We start from the raw sequence: 20,407 nt of genomic DNA on the forward strand, positions 1-20,407 counted from the left end.
GGGCCCAGAAACTGGTGGAGGATTCCAGCCAGGCTGTGGGAGGTTGATGTCACACGTGTCTGCTCCTGTGGGGTAGGGCCCCTTCCTTGGGGTGGGCTGCTGCCCTACCCGTCCAGGAGGCCTTCAGAAATAAAGCATTAAAATGAAGAGTTTTGGCTTGTTCCATGGAAGCTCTGGGTCACACCCTGACCCTTGTGTTTGTCAGATGAGTAAACTGAGACAGGGCCGGGTCGCTCACAGCTTTCAGGTTTCTCCGTCCAACCTCCTTCCCACCTGCCCCCTTCATCCCAGGCTGTTGCTTTCCAAGGCCGTGTTAGCTGCTCCAGCGGGGTCGTCTGAGGGCCTGGGTTGCACAGGCACCTCCTGCGTGGCGGCAGGGTGGGGGGTGGGGGGGGGTGAGGGGGGTGGGGGGAATGGAAGTGGGCGGGCCTTGCTGGGCTGGGAGGGAGGGAGGGAGGGGCCAGGCTTAGGTAGCAGGCCCAAGGTCCCCCTGTGGGGACAGCACACCACTTTACTCCCCTGGTCTTGTTAATCCTGCCCACATCTCTGGCCCCAGAACACAGGGTAAGCCAGGCTGGGCTCTTGTCACTGCCGCCCTGGGACGGGATCCCCATCACAAGCCCCATGGGGACAGCAGCCGTGACTCTGGGGGGGCCCTGCCCTGCCTTGTGAGTGTGGACTCATTTAACTCTCCAGACCACCAGGAGTCGGTGTTATTACTGTCCCTTGTGCTGCGGAAGTGGTGGCTCAGAGGTGAGACAGGAACGTGGCTGAGCCAGGTTGGAGCCCGAGGCCCCAGCTTCCCCACCTGACCCTTGACTCTGTGCTGTTCCTTCCGGAAGCGCTGTCCAGGGGTCCTGCAACCCCAGCAGAGGCCCTGAGCGTTTGGGCAGGGCCACGAGGGATCTGCAGGAGTAAGTTCCTTGGGAAGGGCCAGCCTCTTGAGTTGGAGGACATAGTGACCAAGGGAGCAGCCCCAGGCAAGACTCTTTGTCCTGCGCTTGGAGCCTGGAGTAAGACCTGGTATCCTCTGCATCACTGAGGTCCTCCTTCTGAAAGGCCAGCGCACCCTGAGCCGTTTAAAGCTGTGTCCGTGCCGGGCCCCCACATCACAGGGCCAGGAGCCCTCCTTCCTGCAGCGATGGAGCACTTAGGAAGGTGAAGACACCCCAAAGGTTACTGTAAAGTGGGTTCCTCTCCTATTTTTCTCTTACATCCGAGAAGGAGGAGGGCAGCTTACAAAGGTGTGTGGGGCAGGAGAGGAGAAATAACCGAGTGAGGACATCGGGGTGGAGGGACAGGGGACAGGGGAGCTGAGATGCAGCCGGCGTGCCGGAGGGTGCAGAGAGAGACTCCGCACTGTTCTGTCCGTGTGTCTGGGCTCCTGACCTGTATCCCGTGCTGAGGGCCGCACCTCGGCTCAGCAGCGCCTTCTGACCCCAGCCGTGCACTAGGCCCCTCTGCTGGGCACACCAGAGTTTCAGAGGCGAGTCTACCCTGGTGCCTGCTGGGTGGCCTCAGGGGCTCTCGGGGCAGTGGGAGGGGAGGTGGCCACTGCTCAGGTAAACCCCCAGGCCTGCAGGATGTGAGGGAGAGAGGCAGGCCCGAGAGGCCAGGACTGGCCAGGGATGGTGGGTTTGGGGCCAGTTGTGCCCCAGCCCAGATCTTGTCCTCGGCCCCCTGGGTCCCTGCCCTTGGCCACAGGAAGTCTGTCCACACTGGGCCTGGTGTGGGAAGGGAGGGAGAGCCCTTTCCTAGGAGAGCATTTGCTCTCACTGGATGTCAGACCCAGTGCCTCTCAGCCTGGGAAAACCTGACGGGCTGAGCCGTAGGAGGGGCAGGAGTGGGAGTGGGCCCGGGGCTCCTGTCCAAGTCTCTGTGTGATTTGGGGCAAACCCTTCCCCTCCCTGGGCCACAGATTACCCACATGTCAGATTGAGGGGGCCTCTTCTAGATTAGACTTCTCCCAAATGTGATGCTACAGATGTTTCATTGGGCAAAAACAAAAAAAAAAAAAAGAGGGTTCTGTGGTCAAAGAAAATCTGGCTGGGCAGTGTGGAAGCTGTTTTCGCGGCTGGCTCGGCTGAGCCCTGGGATGCCACTGCATGCTGCGGCCTTGGTTGTGTTTCCTAAACCCCCGCCCCGGGGGACCCCACTCTTCTTACTCCCCATCGCAACGGGCTGCCTGCTGCCACCTGGCAGGGAGAGGGGATGCATGACAGGCGGGGAGGTGCCAGTCCCGAGTCTGTGACGGTATTTCCAGCCCTGGCTTTTCCATCAGACCGCCCGTGGTGCCGTCTGCATGCTCCCACGGTGATGGGGCACAGACCCCACCGTTCCTCCCTCATTTTGGTTGCACAGCCTGGGGCCAGTTGGGTGCCATCCCTGCCTGGTCTGTCAGCACACCTGGGCGGGGCGGCCTCGGGGGTGGGAACTCCCTCCTGGGGCCCTGGGATTACTCAGTTGTGAAATGGGGAGAATGGGGACGGTGACACCTGCCCCCGGGTTCCCCATGACAGGGTGGGTATGTGCTGGGAGGGTGTGGAGGGCCGAGCCGGAGCTGGCACGGTGGTCCCCACCAACTTCTTGCTGATCACTTACCCCCTCATGCCTCAGTTTCCCCCTCTGTAAAACAAAGTTAATGCCAGTTTTCCAGGATTACAGTTGGGATTAAGTGGGAAATTAATGACAGTGTCGGCCATAGAGGCTGGAGCCTCTAGAGCGCTCAGGGAGTGTGGAAGGTGCTGAAGGTGACTGTGTGACTGCAGGTGACTCCATGTCACCCTGTCTATAAGAGCTGTTAAAACAGCAGTGCGTGTGTGCGCGAGGGTCCCTGACTGTGTGACTGCAGGTGATTCCACGTCACCCGGTCTCCAGGAGCCCTTAAAACAGCAGTGCGTGTGCACGCGAGGGTCCCTGTTTCTTCCTCCCCGATGCCTGCTCTGCTTCATCTGCACTGGAACCTCATGTTGAGGGGCTGCTGTTACCTAACTGTCTGCCCCCCAGGGAACCCCCACTATGTTGAGAGGCTGCTGTTACCTAACCACCCGCCCCAGGGAACCCCCACTGTGTTGAGGGGCTGCTGTTACCTAACCACCTGACCCCCAGGGAACCCCCACTATGTTGAGGGGCTGCTGTTACCTAACTGTCCCCCAGGGAACCCCCTGATGTTGAGGGGCTGCTGTTACCTAACTGTCTGCCCCCCAGGGAACCCCCACTATGTTGAGAGGCTGCTGTTACCTAACCACCCGCCCCAGGGAACCCCCACTATGTTGAGGGGCTGCTGTTACCTAACCACCCACCCCCCAGGGAACCCCCCGATGTTGAGGGGCTGCTGTTACCTAACCACCCGCCCCAGGGAACCCCCACTATGTTGAGGGGCTGCTGTTACCTAACCACCCGCCCCAGGGAACCCCCACTATGTTGAGGGGCTGCTGTTACCTAACCTTCCCCCCTGGGAATCCCCCCGAAAGAGGCTGCGGCTCTCACGCACCTGCCTTCAGTTGGATAACCTGCTGTTTGGTGGCATTCCACGAAGGGCACACAGATCCCCGAGAGTCCTGGGACCCTGCTGGCAGCAGTGGTTCTGGGGCCATCCTGGGAACATCCCTGGGTGCTCTCCCACGTGCTCCGTGGCAGGAGTGTCCTGCACACGCGGGAGGAAGCTTCTGGGGCACATGAGTTTGTGAGCTCCCGGGTTCCACAAAGCTCAAGGGACTTTGTGTGGGACTTCTCAGGGCCTTTCGTGTGCCGGTGTGTACTGTAGAACGGGCATTCTCAGGAACCTCTTTTCTGTGGAACACTTCATGGGATTGGGGTTCCAGAGCCTGTCAGGATGGGTCGGTGACATGCTGCCTCTGTAGGGTCCCACCAGGGGCTGGGGAAGGGGCGAGCCCCGTGGGGCCTGGAGACAGCTGAGTGACTGTGTGCCTCCTCCCCAGGCTGGAATGAGCTGCTCATCGCCTCCTTCTCCCACCGCTCCATCGCCGTGAAGGACGGGATCCTCCTGGCCACCGGGCTGCACGTCCACCGGAACAGCGCCCACAGCGCAGGGGTGGGCGCCATCTTTGACAGGTGGGGGTGGTCCCGGGAGGGGCGAGGGCGCTTCGGTCACCTCCGCCACCAGGCCAGCTGAGTTCAGCCACCTTGGCCCCGGTGCACATCCTGCCTAGTATTATTTCAGTGCATGAAGGGTGCACACATGGAAAAAGAGAAAAGCATGAGGAGGAGGCTCAGAGCCCTGTGCCAGCCCTGCCTCTGGGGCATCTGTAACCACAGGGAGCACTTGGCCTATCTCCCTCCATCTCTTCTTTTTTCACGATCCCATGTATTTATCCGTGGGAAGGAAAGCTTCGTTTCTTTTTAAAGTGATTATACCGTAGATGCAGTTTTGTAAAAGTGTCAATTCCAGTTGGCATGTCGCAGGCTGCTTGAGGCTGGCACGGTAATGCCGTGGCAGCCCGGGGCGTGGTGCGGCCTAACGCCTGTCCCCGTGCAGGCAGGGGTGTCGGGACCGCAGTGCTTCACACCTCCCAGTGGAGCAAAGGGCTGCACCTCAGCCACTTCTCAGGGGACACACTGGAGGAGCAGCACTGGCTGGAGGGCCCACCCTCGTCCGGGCCTGGGTGGTCCGTGTCCGTTCATGTTGCCCTCCTGGAGTGCTGGCCAACTCCGCTCTGCCAGGCGAGGCGGACAGTAGCTTCCTTGTCCCTGTCTCTGCACAGCCTTTTTTTTTTTGAGATGGAGTCTCGCTCTGTCGCCCAGGCTAGATTGCAGTGGTGCAATCTTGGCTCACTGCAAGCTCCGCCTCCCGGGTTCACACCATTCTCCTGCCTCAGCCTCCCGAGTAGCTGGAACTACAGGCGCCCGCCACCACGCCCGGCTATTTTTTTTGTATTTTTAGTAGAGACGGGGTTTCACCGTGTTAGCCAGGATGGTCTCGATCTCCTGACCTCGTGATCCGCCCACCTCGGCCTCCCAAAGTGCTGGGATTACAGGCGTGAGCCGCCGCGCCCGGCCTCTCTGCACAGTCTTTCTCCACGAGTCTAGAGAGCCACACACACCAGACTGGGCCTTCTGGGGACCGGATGTCAGCTTCAGCTGGAGCGGGAAGGCTGGGGAGGGGCACTGCGGGGTCCCTTGGGCAGGGGTCTGCAACACAGGAGCCGTGGGTGGGGAGGAGCAGGCCACCTGGAGAACGTGGCCCCTGAACACGAGAGCCCCAACGTTAGAGGTGAGTAGAGGCCATGCACCGGCACTTACAGGGGGATTAATGCCCCAGCAGCAATGCCCCAGGGGGTGGTTCAGGTCCCAGAGTCCCAAGGGTGATCCTGGAACTTGACCTCCATGGGATGTGCCAAGTGCAAAAGGGTTTGTGGCCGCAGACGGTGGGCAAACGGTAGTTCAAACAGTGTCCTTGAGGGTCTTTGCCGCAGGACTTGTCAGGGCCTTTAAGAAGTTAGTGTACAGGAGGGTCCCCACGGGGGCTGCAGGGTGCAGTGTGCAGTGTGTATTGCCCACAGAAGCTTCTTTAGAGGGGTACTGGGGATATGGCTTTGGGAAGCGAAGCCCCAGCCACTTGCCCAGCTGACAGATCCTTTGTCTGGCTGGTAGAGAGATGGCGATGACAGAGGTTTCAGGGTTACATTCTCTGGGGTCCCACAGCAGTGACTACAGAGGCCCCGGCATTTCCTCGCCTTTTTTGCGAGTGGAATGCAAAGTCTGCCCTCAGTGGCCCAGGTCTTTTCCATGCCCGCTGCCCCATCCCTCTGCAGCTGTGTGCTCCTGCCTCAGAGCAGACATCGGGGGTCCCTCCCAGCTCCTGTTCTGTCCCACCCTGTTCTCCAGCCTCCTTCAGATCTTCTTCCAGGAATCAACCAGGGCACTCCCCATTCTGCAGACCCTCAGGGCCGCCCTTGGCCCACAGGGGAGAGCCCAGGCTCCTTAGGCAACCATCCCCACCTGGTCACCTCCTTTCCCCCGCTGTGGCCCACCCTTACTTCCTGGACACAGCAGTTGAGCTTTGGGGTTGGTGGGCAGGCTGCTGAGGCTAGGGGGCCCAGTACACTGCAGAGGCTGGTGTGATTCAGAATCCAGCTGCAGGGCTGGGGCAGCTGAGTCTGAATCCAAGAACGCCCCCAGCGTCTCCATGGAGGGAGCTGGCGGGCTTTCCCCGTGTTGAGGCTGGTGGATTTTTTTTCTCTGGTGACAAGAAGTAGACATGCCTCCCTCTGGCAGCCCCCACCCAGGGACACCAGGCCCTGGGGAAAGGTATCTTCCTGGACTGAAGGGAGCGGCTGGGGCTGTGGCATGGGAAGGGGCTTTGCCTCAGGTGGTGCTGGGTCCACAGCTGAGGAGGGACAGTGGTGTGTCTCACTGGGTTCGGGAGGGGTGGACTCTGTGCCCTCTGTGCAGCTGCGGCTCACCTCAGTTTAGCTGTCACGAGGCCCCTCCTTAGCACCTCGGTTCCCAGAATAAAGCCCCGCAGGCAGACCCTAGAGGGAGAGGAGAGGAGCCCACCCTCCGGGCAGGGCCAGGCAGGCCTGGCAGGGGCGGCACCTGGGCCTGGGTTCCAGCCCACTCCCTCTCGGGGTGTCTGGGAGTCCTTGCCTTGGCTTGGCCCATCTCAGCGGCCCTCGGGCCACGCCGGGCTCTCCAGAGGCCTTGGGTATCTGGGGTGTGGCCCTGGTGAGGGCTGCGACCTAACTGGGATGGGGTGTCTGCCCTCCTCCTCTGCAGGGTGCTGACGGAGCTTGTGTCCAAGATGCGGGACATGCAGATGGACAAGACGGAGCTGGGCTGCCTGCGCGCCATCGTCCTCTTTAACCCTGGTATGGCCTTCCTGCCTTGAGGCTTCTGGCCCCGTTCTCTGGTGGGGCAGAGGTGCCTGGGCCTCCTCCTGGCTGTACTTCTTGCCTCTGGCTACATGTGGGGCCAACTCCCACCCTCCTTGAGCTCAGTGTGCCCCCCTCCCAGTGAAAGTGTGGCCATGCTGCCTTCTGCTCACCTTGAGGGCCAGCCAAGGGGGCATGGTCCCTGGGCACAGGGGGACCCAGCAAGGCAGTTGTCATGAGGGGCTTGGTGGTGCCGTCTGGGCTCCGCGGTTCATAGTGTTCATCACTGTGCGTCGGAATCCAGACTCCGAAAGTGGCCAGCTGTGGTTGTGAACTTCCGGTGCTGAAGTTCAGGAGTCCCAAGCCCTGCAGGCTGGGGATGGGTCAGGCCTGCCGGGTGTTCCAGAGGGGACCAACCTCATCCCCAAGCCTCGGGTCCAGGGTGTTTCTGGGGCTGGGCCCCTGTGGTTGAGGAGAGCAGGGCTTGGGGCTGTGGGGCTGGGGCTGGGCACAGGCCTCCTGGCCGACAGTGCGGCCCTTCTCCAGCCTCTGGGTTCTCGGCTTGAAAAGCCTCCTAGGTGCTACTCCTTCGCCCAACAAGTGCTGACACGTGCCTGTTTGCTCGGTGCCCTGCTGGCATGGGAGGGCCCCTTCAAGCTGCTGGATAGGGCTTGCCTGCCTAGAGCTTGGGGTTTAGAGGGTCACGCCCACCAGCAGGCACCCCCGGCACGTGAGGGCAGGAGCACGGTTGGTCGAGGGTGCGGGCCACTTCCTCCGGGAGCTGCAAGTTAGGGGCCAGGGGAGTGAGAGGCACGGAGGTGGGGTGGGCTGGTGGAGGCAGCCCAGGCAGGGCCTTGAAAGTCTTGCTAAGTTTGGGTTTTTTCTTGGGGCCACAGGGAGCCAAGTCCTGAGGGGTTCCAGCCGGGAGGGAGCTATGGGTTTCTGTGTTTGGAAACTCAGCTCATTGCGTGATAGGGGCAGGTGGCTGGGGTGTGGAGGGAGAGGTTTGGGGCTGCTGTGGGGAGCTCACTTGGGCTATGGTGGAGGGAGTGGAGCCCTCTCGGCTCCTGGCCCTGACCTTCTGACCTTGCCCTTTGTCAGACCTGGCTCTGAGGGACCGGGCCGGGATGGAGATGGGCATCTTCTTGTGGGGAGAGCTTGTTTCCAGGGTCATTTTATCACCCAGGCTGTGCATCCGGGCCGTAATCCTGCCAGCTCGGAGGCTGAGTCATGCCACGGCCCGGCCCGGCCCGAGGAATCCCCATTCAGGTCCTGTGTGGTCTGGTTGCTAGAGCTGGGGCACCAGCAGGACCTGGGCACCGGCTTGCAGGGAGGGTGAGATTGTCTGGCACAAGCAGGGTCCAGGCACAGGCTTGCAGGGAAAGCGAAGAGACCAGGGCACAGGCATGCAGGGAGGGCGAGGAGACTGGCTGGAGCGGAGGCAGCTGGGGGAGCCAGGTACGTTGCCAAGGAGCCCAGGACACAGGCCAAGGTGGCATTCACAGGGGGTCCCTGGGCCTTGGGGGCCAAGGTGGCATTCACAGGGGGTCCCTGGGCCTTGGAGGTTTTGGTGGCTGCAATCTTAGCCTCTCTGTCCACTCTAGGCTCTTGAGCCCGGGTCCTGAGCTCAGGACTCCGCAAGCACACCGAGGATGGGTTTCCGCAGGGTCTGGGTACTCCTGGGGGCAGCAGCGCTATCTCCCATCCATGTTATGGGGCTGGGACCCAAGGGCAGCAGCAGCATCCATTGTCTCTCCCAGTTCCCAAGGCGGCTGGAAGGAAGGCAGCAGATCCCTGACACTTTATCGATGGGGAAACCGAGTCTCTGGAGGTCAAATAGTTGACCCAAGGTCACGTGGCTGGCAAGTGGCAGAGCTGAGCCTGGACCCAGAGCAGCCTGGCCTGGCCGTGGGTTCCACAGTCGTCCCCCTGCCACCAGGCTCTGGGGGAGCGGGCGGAGGCATGTCCAGCGGCATTCCTCCACCACCTGCTCTGCCCATGGTGGGGCAGCCTGGGAGACCCCACACAAGCCTGGGTCCTGGGGGCAGGTGCCCGAGACACGCCCCAGCTGAGGGTTCTGACCTGTGGCTTCTTCCTTTCAGACTCCAAGGGGCTCTCGAACCCGGCCGAGGTGGAGGCGCTGAGGGAGAAGGTCTATGCGTCCTTGGAGGCCTACTGCAAGCACAAGTACCCAGAGCAGCCGGGAAGGTGGGTCCCGCCCCGTCCCACACACACCCCAGACCCAGGCTCTTGTCTCCAGAGCCCCCACCCCCTGCAAGGCCATTTTATGTGAATGAGAAGGTGGCACCCTCCCCAGGCCCAGCCCATGCCAGCAGGTCCTGAGCAGGCAGCAGGAGGTCCTCCAGGCCAGTGGGCTGTGGCGGGCACACCCCACAGGCCCACGTCGTATCCCCACTGGAAGGATTACCTTGCACCTGGCGCATAGTAGGTGCTTCTCTTTGTTCAGTAGATAGATGAAGGCTGTGCTTCACCCCCCACTGCGCTCCCCTACCAAGCAGAACCACCAGAGGCCAGGCGACACCAGCACATAGTAGGTACTTCACAAGCATGTGTAGAATGGATGGCCAGATGCCCACACATACTAAACACTCTCTACAAGTGTGTACGGAATAGGCGGTCACGGCCTGAGCGTAGCGCTCATGTTTCCCCCCTGCCCGGCTGTGGGCCCTGGAAGGGCTGGGGCTCCCTCATTTCTGAGTCCACAGTGCTGGGTGCACAGTAGGTGTCCAGGAAGAGAAACGTTTGTGGATCCCTGCCTGGGATTCAAAGTCAGCGCTCCAGATTCTGCCTCTTCTCTCTAAAGGGGCATCTCCTGGCCTCTTGATCCTCAGACTGTGGGGCGGGGAGGGGGTCGGGGGAGGTGGGGCCCAGCAGACCTCATAGGACACCCAGGCCTTCCCGCCACCAGCACATACACAGTTAACCGTGTCCCCGCTGCCTGCCCAGCCCTCATCTGGCTTGGTTTAAAGTGAAACTTCCCGGAGGACGAGGACAGGAGGGGGTGGCAGGCAGCTTGTTTTTCCTGGCTTTCTGCCCTGGCCCATCTCGCCAGCTCAGCAGAAAACAGCTTGTTCTCTGGCCCAACTCCAGCCTCTGCGCTGTTTTTGCCTTTAAAACAAGGCCTGTGAGGCAGCCAACCACAGAGCTTTTCCCTGAAAGAAAGACTTCGTTAATAATTAATGAGGTCCTGCAGCCCCTGGAGGGGCCGTGTGGAGAGACTCAGGCCGTGCACAGGGGCCCTGGGCAGACACGGCCAGCCGGAAGGGACACCTGGTTCCGTCCCCATAGCACCCTGTCCTCAGCGGCAGCTGCTGCCCTCATGCCTGGCCCTGCTATCCCTCTTCCCAGAGCCCCAGACTTCCCCCCTCCCTCCCGCCCCCCCACTGGTCCCTGCCCCAGGAAACTCCCCAGGGATGGGCCAGGCCCTGAGGACCAACCCGTGCTCCCTCCCTCCCCGGCCAGCCTTCTCTGACCATGCTGTGCCCAATGCCAGCAGAGCTATTTCTGAGGAAGGGGTGGCCCTGGTCTGGGGCCCACAGCCCTGCACAAGGTGCCGTGGGAGGCACTCATGGGGTGCTGATGCTTTATGGAAAGGGTCTTGCACCGTTACACAGCTCCCAAGTCAGGCCTGGCTCCACCTGCAGTGGGGGTGCAGCCTGACTCCCCCTCCCCCGCCTGATGCTCTTTGACTTCTTGGTTGCCCACCATGTGCCGGGCCTGTTCCCTGCGACTCACCAGTGTGCTCAGCAGCCCTTTCCCTTACAAGCCCCGCAGTCTCTTGCTGTGATGGCTGCTGCAGCCAGATGCATTACTGATACTCACACCCGCTCCCGGCTGTCATGGCCCACAGTTTTTCATTTTTTGAGAGACAGTCTGGCTGTGTCGCCCAGGCTGGAGTGCAGTGCTGCGATCGTAGCTCATTGCAGCCTCAACCTCCTGGGCTCAAGCGGTCCTCCCTGCAGGCATGCACCACCACGCCTTGCTACTGTTTTTCTCTTTTTCTTTTGTAGAGACAGGGTCTCACTGCGTTGCCCAGGCTGGTCTCGAACTCCTGGCCTCAAGCCATCCTCCCACCTCGGCCTCTCAAAGTGCTGAGATTACAAGTGTGAGCCATCATGCCCAACTGCCTGCAATTTTTAACTTCTTCACAAAGAGCTATTCAGTCTGCCCTAGCCAGCTGCTGTCTGGCCCCTGGCCCTTCATCTCCGTCCTCAGACCCAGGGATCTCCCTTCACTCTGTCCTGGCTCTGGGTTGCCACTGCCTCTGTTTCCTTCTAGCCTCCCCTCCTTCCTTCTGGAGGCTTGGCATAGGCAGATTCAGGGCTACAGACCAGCCTCAGAGGGGTTGGGGTATCAGACACAGCCCCATCCCCAGGGAGGCCTCCAGTGCCAGGGCAGAACTGCCCATGCCCCTTGCCCGGCCCTCACCAGACCTGTTCCCTGCAGGTTCGCTAAGCTCTTGCTCCGCCTGCCGGCTCTGCGCTCCATCGGGCTCAAATGCCTGGAACATCTCTTCTTCTTCAAGCTCATCGGGGACACACCCATTGACACCTTCCTTATGGAGATGCTGGAGGCGCCGCACCAAATGACTTAGGCCTGCGGGCCCATCCTTTGTGCCCACCCGTTCTGGCCACCCTGCCTGGACGCCAGCTGTTCTTCTCAGCCTGAGCCCTGTCCCTGCCCTTCTCTGCCTGGCCTGTTTGGACTTTGGGGCACAGCCTGTCACTGCTCTGCCTAAGAGATGTGTTGTCACCCTCCTTATTTCTGTTACTACTTGTCTGTGGCCCAGGGCAGTGGCTTTCCTGAGGCAGCAGCCTTCGTGGCAAGAACTAGCGTGAGCCCAGCCAGGCGCCTCCCCACCGGGCTCTCAGGACACCCTGCCACACCCCACGGGGCTTGGGCGACTACAGGGTCTTCGGGCCCCAGCCCTGGAGCTGCAGGAGTTGGGAACGGGGCTTTTGTTTCCGTTGCTGTTTATCGATGCTGGTTTTCAGAATTCCTGTGTGGCCCTCCTGTCTGGAGTGACATCTTCATCTGCTCTGAATACTGGTGCCCAGCCAGCCCGTGACAGCTTCCCCCTAATCAGGAGGGGACAGCTGGGGGCGCAAGCTGGTGTGTCATCAGCAAAGACCTCAGCCGCCTCGGGGATGAGAGGGGACTCGTGGGGCAAGCAAGCTGCCCTGTGCTCTGAGTGAGGGGGAAGGTAGCCCCTTTTTCCAAAGATAACTCACAGTTTTGCCCTCGAGCCAATGAGAACATGAGCTGCCCTCTGTGCAAGGTTTCGGGGCCACCTCCAGGCTGCAGGGGCGGGTCACTCACCCCCCTGTTTTCTCTCTGCCTTGGTGTTCTGGTTTCAGACTCCCGACTCCCCGTTCAGACCAGAGTGCCCCGGCCCCTCCCCAGCCTGAGTCTTCTCCTTGCTCTGCGGGGTGGGCTGAGGCTTGTCCTTGTTTCCTGCAGGGCTGGCCCTGGCTCGGGCAGGGTGGGGCATCACCACCTCACTGGCCTTGCTGGAGGCACAGGGCTCTGCGGACCTGCAGCCATCTGTGAGGCCCGCGGGGATGGGAGGGGAGGAGGGTGGCCTGTTGGTTTCCCTCAGAGGGGGCAGGTGGCCTGGAGAGAGAGGGGCTCAGGAACTGGGAGCCTCGTGGGTGGGGCAGATGCTCCGCGGCCTGGAGTGGCTCTGCCGGGGCATTGGTGGGACCCCTGCTCAGGCCTTCTCTCTGGCTGCCAGTTGTGTCTAAAAGACTCTTGGAATCTGAGAACCCGGAGTCGCAGCGCCCTCGGGCCTGGGCCACACGCAGGCCCTGGTGGGACCACCCAGCCTGGTATTGTCCACGGACAGCGTTGTTCACCCAGAGCCTTACTTGGGAGCCTCACTGAACGCCTGCTCTGGTTGAAGGTGGGGTGGGGGCGGGGCTTGGGGCCTCCCTGGCTCAGCCCAGTGCGGCCTGGCGCTCCTCCCGCAGGCTCTGCCCCCGGGCTCCGGTGGTGCGGGGCCCTCTCAGGTTGAACTCGCCTCTTTTGCACTGGAAGGCCCTCCCTTTGGCCTGAGTACTTTTCCCGTTCACGCCTCAGTCCCGTGGACCCAGCCTTTGTCAGTGGCAGGTGCCTGAACAGAGGGTGGATGGGGGGGATACCGGAGGGGGTCTTGTCTTCCCAGCCGCAGTCTAGGAATGATGCGGGGGGGTGGACGCCTTCTCCATAGTCTTTCCCCACCTGGAGCAGGGGCTTCCTCAGTGGTGAGGGGAGCTGCCTACAGGTTGGACCGGGAGGCAGTGGCTTGGAGAGGCAGCTTTCCAGCCTTGGTGGGGAAGAAAGTGTCCATTCTTTGCCTTCCTGGAGCTCCCAGCCAGAGCTGAGCTTAGGCACCCGAGTGGAGCCTGCAGCTGAGTCTGTGCCCGAGACAGGCTGTCAGAGATTCCAGAAGCCTCTCCTCCCCGCCGCCCTCCACCCCTGCCTTTCAGCGTTGTGGATCCCTAGAGGTGGCCCCCTGCCCGATCCACCGTCCTGAGGCAGAGTGTTGAGCCTCATACCTGTACCAGGTCCCCGGCCAGCTGGGCCCCTCCCAGGCACTGCCAGGAAGCCCCAGCTGCCCCTGGCGGGTGTGGTGGAAATGGCAGGAGGGTGCAGGTACTCTTGGGGCCCCAGCGGTGGGAGTGCAAAAGACCCAACGCCAACACCTGGTGCCTTCTGCAGCCAGCGCCCACCCATCCGTGCCCGGACCCTTGGGAATGCCCGCGGCTCCAGAGGAAAAAGCCCAGGGACGGGGCCTCCGTTGCGGGGGGTCGGCTGCTTCTTGGGAACTTTGTCGTTTCCGGCGCTGGCTGGCTGGCTGGCTGGCTGTAAAGCACTGAAGCCCCCCGGCCGCCAACCCCTGAAAGCAGAACCTGGCCTCCCTGGCCACAGCAGCCTTACCCACCGCTCTACGTGTCCCGGGCACTTCCCGCAGCCTTCCCGTCCCTTTCTCATCGGCCTTGTAGTTGTACAGTGCTGTTGGTTTGAAAAGGTGATGTGTGGGGAGTGCGGCTCATCACTGAGTAGAGAGGTAGAATTTCTATTTAACCAGACCTGTAGTAGTATTACCAATCCAGTTCAATTAAGGTGATTTTTTGTAATTATTATTATTTTGGTGGGACAATCTTTAATTTTCTAAAGATAGCACTAACATCAGCTCATTAGCCACCTGTGCCTGTCCCCGCCTTGGCCCGGCTGGATGAAGCGGCTTCCCCGCAGGGCCCCCACTTCCCAGTGGCTGCTTCCTGGGGACCCAGGGCACCCCGGCACCTTCAGGCACGCTCCTCAGCTGGTCACCTCCCGGCTTTGCCGTTCAGATGGGGCTCCTGAGGCTCAGGAGTGAAGATGCCACAGAGCCGGGCTCCCCTAGGCTGCGTCGGGCATGCTTGGAAGCTGGCCTGCCAGGACCTTCCACCCTGGGGCCTGTGTCAGCCGCCGGCCCTCCGCACCCTGGAAGCACACGGCCTCTGGGAAGGACAGCCCTGACCTTCGGTTTTCCGAGCACGGTGTTTCCCAAGAATTCTGGGCTGGCGGCCTGGTGGCAGTGCTGGAGATGACCCCGAGCCCCTCCCCGTGGGGCACCCAGGAGGGCCCTGCCGGAATGTGCAGCCTGTGGGTAGTCGGCTGGTGTCCCTGTCGTGGAGCTGGGGTGCGTGATCTGGTGCTCGTCCACGCAGGTGTGTGGTGTAAACATGTATGTGCTGTACAGAGAGACGCGTGTGGAGAGAGCCGCACACCAGCGCCACCCAGGAAAGGCGGAGCGGTTACCAGTGTTTTGTGTTTATTTTTAATCAAGACGTTTCCCCTGTTTTCCTATAAATTTGCTTCGTGTAAGCAAGTACATAAGGACCCTCCTTTGGTGAAATCCGGGTTCGAATGAATATCTCAAGGCAGGAGATGCATCTATTTTAAGATGCTTTGGAGCAGACAGCTTTAGCCGTTCCCAATCCTTAGCAATGCCTTAGCTGGGACGCATAGCTAATACTTTAGAGAGGATGACAGATCCATAAAGAGAGTAAAGATAAGAGAAAATGTCTAAAGCATCTGGAAAGGTAAAAAAAAAAAATCTATTTTTGTACAAATGTAATTTTATCCCTCATGTATACTTGGATATGGCGGGGGGAGGGCTGGGACTGTTTCGTTTCTGCTTCTAGAGATTGAGGTGAAAGCTTCGTCCGAGAAACGCCAGGACAGACGATGGCAGAGGAGAGGGCTCCTGTGACGGCGGCGAGGCTTGGGAGGAAACCGCCGCAATGGGGGTGTCTTCCCTCGGGGCAGGAGGGTGGGCCTGAGGCTTTCAAGGGTTTTCTTCCCTTTCGAGTAATTTTTAAAGCCTTGCTCTGTTGTGTCCTGTTGCCGGCTCTGGCCTTCCTGTGACTGACTGTGAAGTGGCTTCTCCGTACGATTGTCTCTGAAACATCGTGGCCTCAGGTGCCAGGGTTTGATGGACAGTAGCATTAGAATTGTGGAAAAGGAACACGCAAAGGGAGAAGTGTGAGAGGAGAAACAAAATATGAGCGTTTAAAATACATCGCCATTCAGTTCGTTTGTTCCGTGTGGGGACTTTTTTGTTTGGAGCGGGAGGGCCCGCGATCAGCCCCCACCAGCCCACCCTCCTGTCCACCCTACCTGCCGGTCCTGTGCGGCGAGGCTGGCATCCTCTGTGGGCCATACTCTTGAGAGTTCTCTCCCTGTCCACTGGGCTCTGCTGCTCCTCCAAGGGGCAGGGGGCTGGGGCCTCCGTGAGGGCACCTCTCAGCAGCCGTGGGCACTGGGCCTGTGGGCGCCTGCGGAGCACGAGTGTTCCCACCTGTCCCTCCCCAGGCTGCCTAAGCATCCACGCCTCTGCAGCCACGCTGGCCCAGATGGGCAGGAGGTGCACCCAGAGGGCCAAGGAACACACGATGTCACCCAGCTGCCCCAATAACAACAAGTTAATGATGCCCCATCTGCATTGTCTCCTGTGATAAACGCCCTCTGTCTCCATGCTGTCTGGGGCTGGGCTGCTCCCGGCCTGGTTTGGTCTTCGTGCCCGGAGCCCTCTCATGCACCTGTGTCCAGCCAGGCACCCTCCCCGAGAGGCACCAGACACACTGAAGATGGGGAGTGGGGCTCTGAAGGTCCAGGTCCTGCCCTGTGGTGGTGGGCAGAGGACAGTGTGGCCTGTGCCCAGAGCTAGGGTGGCTCCCGGGTGAGACTTAAAATGGAACGGCCTGCCACCTGAAAGGCAGGGACTTCCTGATGGCACTCCCCTCATGAGCACACACACATTCACACACGTGCATACTCAAACACGGGCACGGACACGCTCACATGGACCCTCGCACCCATTCATACGCATGCACACACCACGTGCTCACACAGATGCTTTGGCATGCACACCCATGCAGAACTGCTCCCGTGCACACACCCATCGCTGCCCTTGCACACACCCATGCATGCTCCCATGCACACACACCCATACAGGCTCAGTTGCACACACCCATACACGCTCCCGTGCACACACCCATACACGCTTTCATATGCACATACATCCATATTCCCATGCACACACACCCATACACACTCCCATGCACACACACCCATACATGCTCCCGTGCACACACACACTCATGAACATACACACTTGCACTCAGCCCTGGAAGGATCGACAGAACAGTGGGGGTCTTGGGTGCGGGGCTGAGCCAGCCTCCCTTGGTGGAGTCAGGACCCCACACCAACATTCTCCCTCTTCCTGGGAACGGCGGCTGTGCGGCTGTGCTCTGAAACTCTGGGCCACTCCCTGGGCCCCCAACCATGGCTGAATGGTGGGTGCCACAGGAGTCTCGACTCACTTTGCCATCTTAGGAGCCCCCCTGGGTCCCAGCTGCACATCCAAAGGATCCTCCCTGGGCTTCACACCCTCCCCTGCCAGGGCCTCGGCTCTGCCCACTGAGACCAACCTGGGCTTCTCCAGAGGGGTCCAAGTGTGAATGGACCCCGAGGGAGGGCGGAGTCCTTGAAGTGGCCACCCGCTTCCTCTGTGTCGGCACAGCCCTCTGCCGACCTGGCTTGCTGAGTCTGGCCCACCCATGTTCTCTGCATATAATCTTGCACACATGAAGCACGTGGGCCCCTTCCGTGGTCTGGAAAAGGGGTCGGCCCTGGGGCTTCGGGAGCTGGGATGTGGCCTCCCTGCTGAGAGGCCTCCCATCCTGCTGCACATCTGCGCACATGGCTGAGTGCTGCTGTGTGAGACACCAGCGGTTGGAAGCTGGCTCTGTGCCCTGGTGGCCCCCTGGACTCTGGGCACAGCCTCCACGGACACCCGTCCTTGGGGTGAGAGTGAGCCCTCGGAGTTCTCAGGCCAGAGCGCAGGGACAAAAGGGGAAAGCTGAGGTCTGTGGTTGCAGGACACGGACCCCTCGGGGCTCTGGGAGAAGCCCAGGAAGGGGAAGCTTCCCGTAAGTTCCCAGGGCCTTGGTGCTTGTTTTAATAATGGGGCAGGGTGTTACTATGGGACTTCCTGGGGTGAGCGTGGGGGGAGTTTGGTGCCCCTCCAGGGACACGAACACCACCCCGTGCTCCCACCAGCCAGGCAGAAACTCCAGGCTGCTGGCTGGCGCGGCATCGCAGGACAACCCAGCTTTGGGCCTCCCTTCGGCATTTGGTTGCCACGGTGACTCCTGCCCAGGGCAGTCCCTCTGGACCAGAGATGCTGGGCTTGATAAGTTCTTCACCGTCACTCTCAGGCAACGACAGCAAGCCAGTGTGGGCTGGAGGTTTGTGAACTGAGAGGCAAGGGAGGGGGCAGGGGCTCAGGCACCTGCGGTGGGGGCAGGGACACATGGCTCCTGGATGGGCACCGCTGAGCTCCCTGTGCTTCCGTCCCTGCCATCAGCCAGCAGACAGCATGATGGGAGGAAGGGCGCACGTGGGGAATGGGGCGCATCCTGAGAGCACATCCTGAGAGAACGGGGCAGCCCCTGCACTTTGTGCAGGCAGTGCACACTCAGGGCGGAGGAGGGGTCATCGCTGTGCCCAAGGACAGCTGCACCTGGGTGACCAGAGGAGGCCAGGGAAGTCTCAGGGGCCTCAGGAGGAAGGGGCTGGGGCGTGGAGACATCGGGAAGGGCCACATAGAGCCTTCAGCCCAGTCCCCTGGATTCTCAGATGGGCACAGCCGCCCCCTGGCAGGGACTCAGACAGCATCGGGGCGGGCAGGCCATTGAGTCTGGCATTTTCTACCTGCCTTTCTGCAGCGAGCCCCCTCTGTAAAGATGCCCGGAGGGAGCCCGCAGCCCCTGCAGAGCTGTGTCCCCACACTTCGCAGAGGCCCTGCGAGGAAGGAGTTTGCCCAAAGGGAGGCCAAGGCAGGACCAGGTCCCATCCCACCACCTCGGTTATGGAGCTGATTAGGAACCCGAGTGTCCCCAAGGACAGATGCCCCGGCGCCTGCTGCGGCGTGAAGCAGCCCTGCCCCCTGCTGGCGACGCTGGGACAGCGCGGGTCCTCCAGTCCCTTCTTGCTCCTCCAGGCCTGTGGGTGCCACAGTGGCTTCCGGCAGTGGGGTTGATTACTGTGAGTCAGAATCACCTGGGCGCTCCGCCACCCAGCCATACCCCTGCTCACTGCAGCAAGCGGTCCAGTCAGGAGCCGGCTTCATCCCAGTTTCACCAAGATGCCTCAGCAGTCAGCTGTTCGGGAAGCTGGGCACACAGCCCTACTGGGTGCCAGGTGGGCTTGGCCTGCAGCAGGAGCAGGGTCAGGGAAGGTGAGGACAGAGCGCCAAGGAGGGAGGGGGGCGGGTCCTGCCCTCTCTGAGCCTCAGTTTCCCCATCTCCCCACCTCCAAAGTGAGGACAAACTCCCCACTTTCCAGGGCTGTTGTGACCAGGGCCTTGGTCACCCAGAAAATGCTTTAGGAGGAAGCAGCCACTTCCTCCTTTCTTTTGGTGTGAAGAGGCTCTAATGCAGGGCATGGGTGGAGGAGGCCAGGCCGACTTTGCTCCCTGAGCAAAGGGTGGTGAGCAGGAATCCTTGGAGATTTGACCCGGGGTCCACCTCTGGACAAGCACAGGACTGTAGGCCCAGGTTCCAGGGCCTGGGATCCAGGAGGTGGCATCATGGCTTTTGCCCATTATGGGGGATGGGGAAGGTCAGGTACCATGGTGCCCTCCAAGGTGAGCAACGGAGCCTTTGAGGTCCAAGGGCAGGGCAGAGACCCCTGTGTGGGTCAGTGGGGGCATTTGGGAAGCACAGAGAGGAGGCTCAGTGGTCTTCCTTCTTTCTCACTCCTTCCCCCCTCCCTCCCTCCTTCCCCTTCCCTCCTGCTTTCCCCCTCCCTCCTTCCTTCCCTCTCCCCCCTCCCTCCTTCCTTCCCCCTCCCTCCTCCTTCCCCTCCTCCTTCCCTCCTTTCTCCTTCCTTCCCCCCTCCTTCCTTCCCCTGCCTCCCTCTTTCCCTCTTCCTCTCTCCTTCCTTCCCCCTCCTTCCCTCCTTCCCCCGTCCCTCCCTCCTTCCCCCTCCTTCCATCCCCCTCCCTCCCTCCTTTCCCCCTCCACCCTTTCCCCCTCCCTCCTTCCCCCCTCCGCCCTTTCCCCCTCCCTCCTTCCCCCTCCCTCCTTCCTTCCCTCTTCTCTTTCTTTTCCTCCCTACCTCCTTCCTTCCCTCCTCCCTACCTACTTGCTCCCTCCTTCCCCTCCCTCCTTCCTTCCCCCTTCTCCTTCCTTCTTTCCTACCTCCCTCCTTCTTTTCTCCTTCCCTCCCCTCTCTCTCCTTCCCCCTCCCTCCCTCCTTCCTCCCTCCTTCCCTCTGGTGGCAGGTGCCTGTAATTCTAGCTACTCAGGAGGCTGAGGCACGAGAATCTCTTGAACCTGGGAAGCAGAGGTTGCAGTGAGCCAAGATCTTGCCACTGCACTCTAGCCTGGGAGACAGAGTGAGACTCCATCTCAAAAAACAAAACAAAACAAAACAAAAACAAAAACCACAAACAAACAAAAATGTGAGAAGGACATGAGATTTGGGAGGGGCCAGGGTTTGGCTCTGTGTCCCCACCCAAAACTCATGTTGAATTATGATCTTCCATGTTGGAGGAGGGGCCTGATGGGAGGGGACTGGATCATGGGAGTGACTTGCCCCTTGCTGTTCTCGTAATAGTGAGTGAGTTCTCACGAGATCTGGCTGTTCACTCTCTCTCTCTCTCCTGCTGCCATGTAGGACGTGCCTGCTTTCCATTCGTCTTCCACCACGATTCTAAGTTTCCTGAGGCCTCCCCAGCCATGCCTCCTGGACAGCCTGCAGAACCGTGAGCCAGTTAAACCTCTTTTCTTTATAAATTACCCAGTCTCAGACTGTTCTTTGTAGCGGAGTGAGAACGGACTGAAACAGCACCTGATCAGCCCTTAGGACAGTCAAGGTCATCAAAGACAAGGAAAGTCTGAGAAACTGTGACAGCCAAAAGGAGCCTCAGGAGACACGATGACTGAATGTCCTGTTGCGACATAGATAAAGGTGTATCAGTGCTGGCTCATGATTGCAACAAAGGTGCTAGACTAACG

The 20,407-nt window shown here is 60.6% G+C and overlaps 1 protein-coding gene and 1 long non-coding RNA gene across 4 annotated transcripts in view, besides 4 other annotated features; both read left to right on the plus strand.

The window, feature by feature from the left end:
- Nucleotides 1-15,419, plus strand: part of RXRA (retinoid X receptor alpha) — a 114,131-nt gene extending 98,712 nt beyond the window's left edge. For all 3 annotated transcript variants that reach the window (NM_002957.6, NM_001291920.2, NM_001291921.2), the window contains 4 exons: nt 3,942-4,074; nt 6,739-6,830; nt 8,936-9,041; nt 11,301-15,419. In NM_002957.6, coding sequence (NP_002948.1) covers nt 3,942-4,074; nt 6,739-6,830; nt 8,936-9,041; nt 11,301-11,448 — 479 coding nt within the window. In that variant the 3' untranslated portion in view covers nt 11,449-15,419. The remainder of the gene's footprint in view (nt 1-3,941; nt 4,075-6,738; nt 6,831-8,935; nt 9,042-11,300) is intronic.
- Nucleotides 8,643-9,144: an enhancer, noted in NCBI's record as "H3K4me1 hESC enhancer chr9:137325655-137326156 (GRCh37/hg19 assembly coordinates)". NCBI's record gives its function as "activates a minimal SCP1, AML or CMV promoter by ChIP-STARR-seq in primed H9 embryonic stem cells {active_cell/tissue: H9 hESC(primed)}" and the evidence as "EXISTENCE:reporter gene assay evidence [ECO:0000049][PMID:30033119]".
- Nucleotides 9,145-9,644: an enhancer, noted in NCBI's record as "H3K4me1 hESC enhancer chr9:137326157-137326656 (GRCh37/hg19 assembly coordinates)". NCBI's record gives its function as "activates a minimal SCP1, AML or CMV promoter by ChIP-STARR-seq in primed H9 embryonic stem cells {active_cell/tissue: H9 hESC(primed)}" and the evidence as "EXISTENCE:reporter gene assay evidence [ECO:0000049][PMID:30033119]".
- Nucleotides 11,796-12,364: an enhancer, noted in NCBI's record as "H3K4me1 hESC enhancer chr9:137328808-137329376 (GRCh37/hg19 assembly coordinates)". NCBI's record gives its function as "activates a minimal SCP1, AML or CMV promoter by ChIP-STARR-seq in naive H9 embryonic stem cells {active_cell/tissue: H9 hESC(naive)}" and the evidence as "EXISTENCE:reporter gene assay evidence [ECO:0000049][PMID:30033119]".
- Nucleotides 18,172-18,750: an enhancer, noted in NCBI's record as "H3K4me1 hESC enhancer chr9:137335184-137335762 (GRCh37/hg19 assembly coordinates)". NCBI's record gives its function as "activates a minimal SCP1, AML or CMV promoter by ChIP-STARR-seq in naive H9 embryonic stem cells {active_cell/tissue: H9 hESC(naive)}" and the evidence as "EXISTENCE:reporter gene assay evidence [ECO:0000049][PMID:30033119]".
- The window catches only part of LOC105376311 (uncharacterized), a 38,028-nt gene continuing 37,657 nt past the window's right edge, over nt 20,037-20,407 (plus strand). The window contains exon 1 of the long non-coding RNA XR_007061841.1: nt 20,037-20,393. This is a non-coding gene — a long non-coding RNA (uncharacterized LOC105376311). The remainder of the gene's footprint in view (nt 20,394-20,407) is intronic.

Source organism: Homo sapiens, chromosome 9, assembly GCF_000001405.40.
Source record: "Homo sapiens chromosome 9, GRCh38.p14 Primary Assembly".
In the NCBI taxonomy this organism is placed as follows: Eukaryota; Metazoa; Chordata; class Mammalia; order Primates; family Hominidae; genus Homo; species Homo sapiens.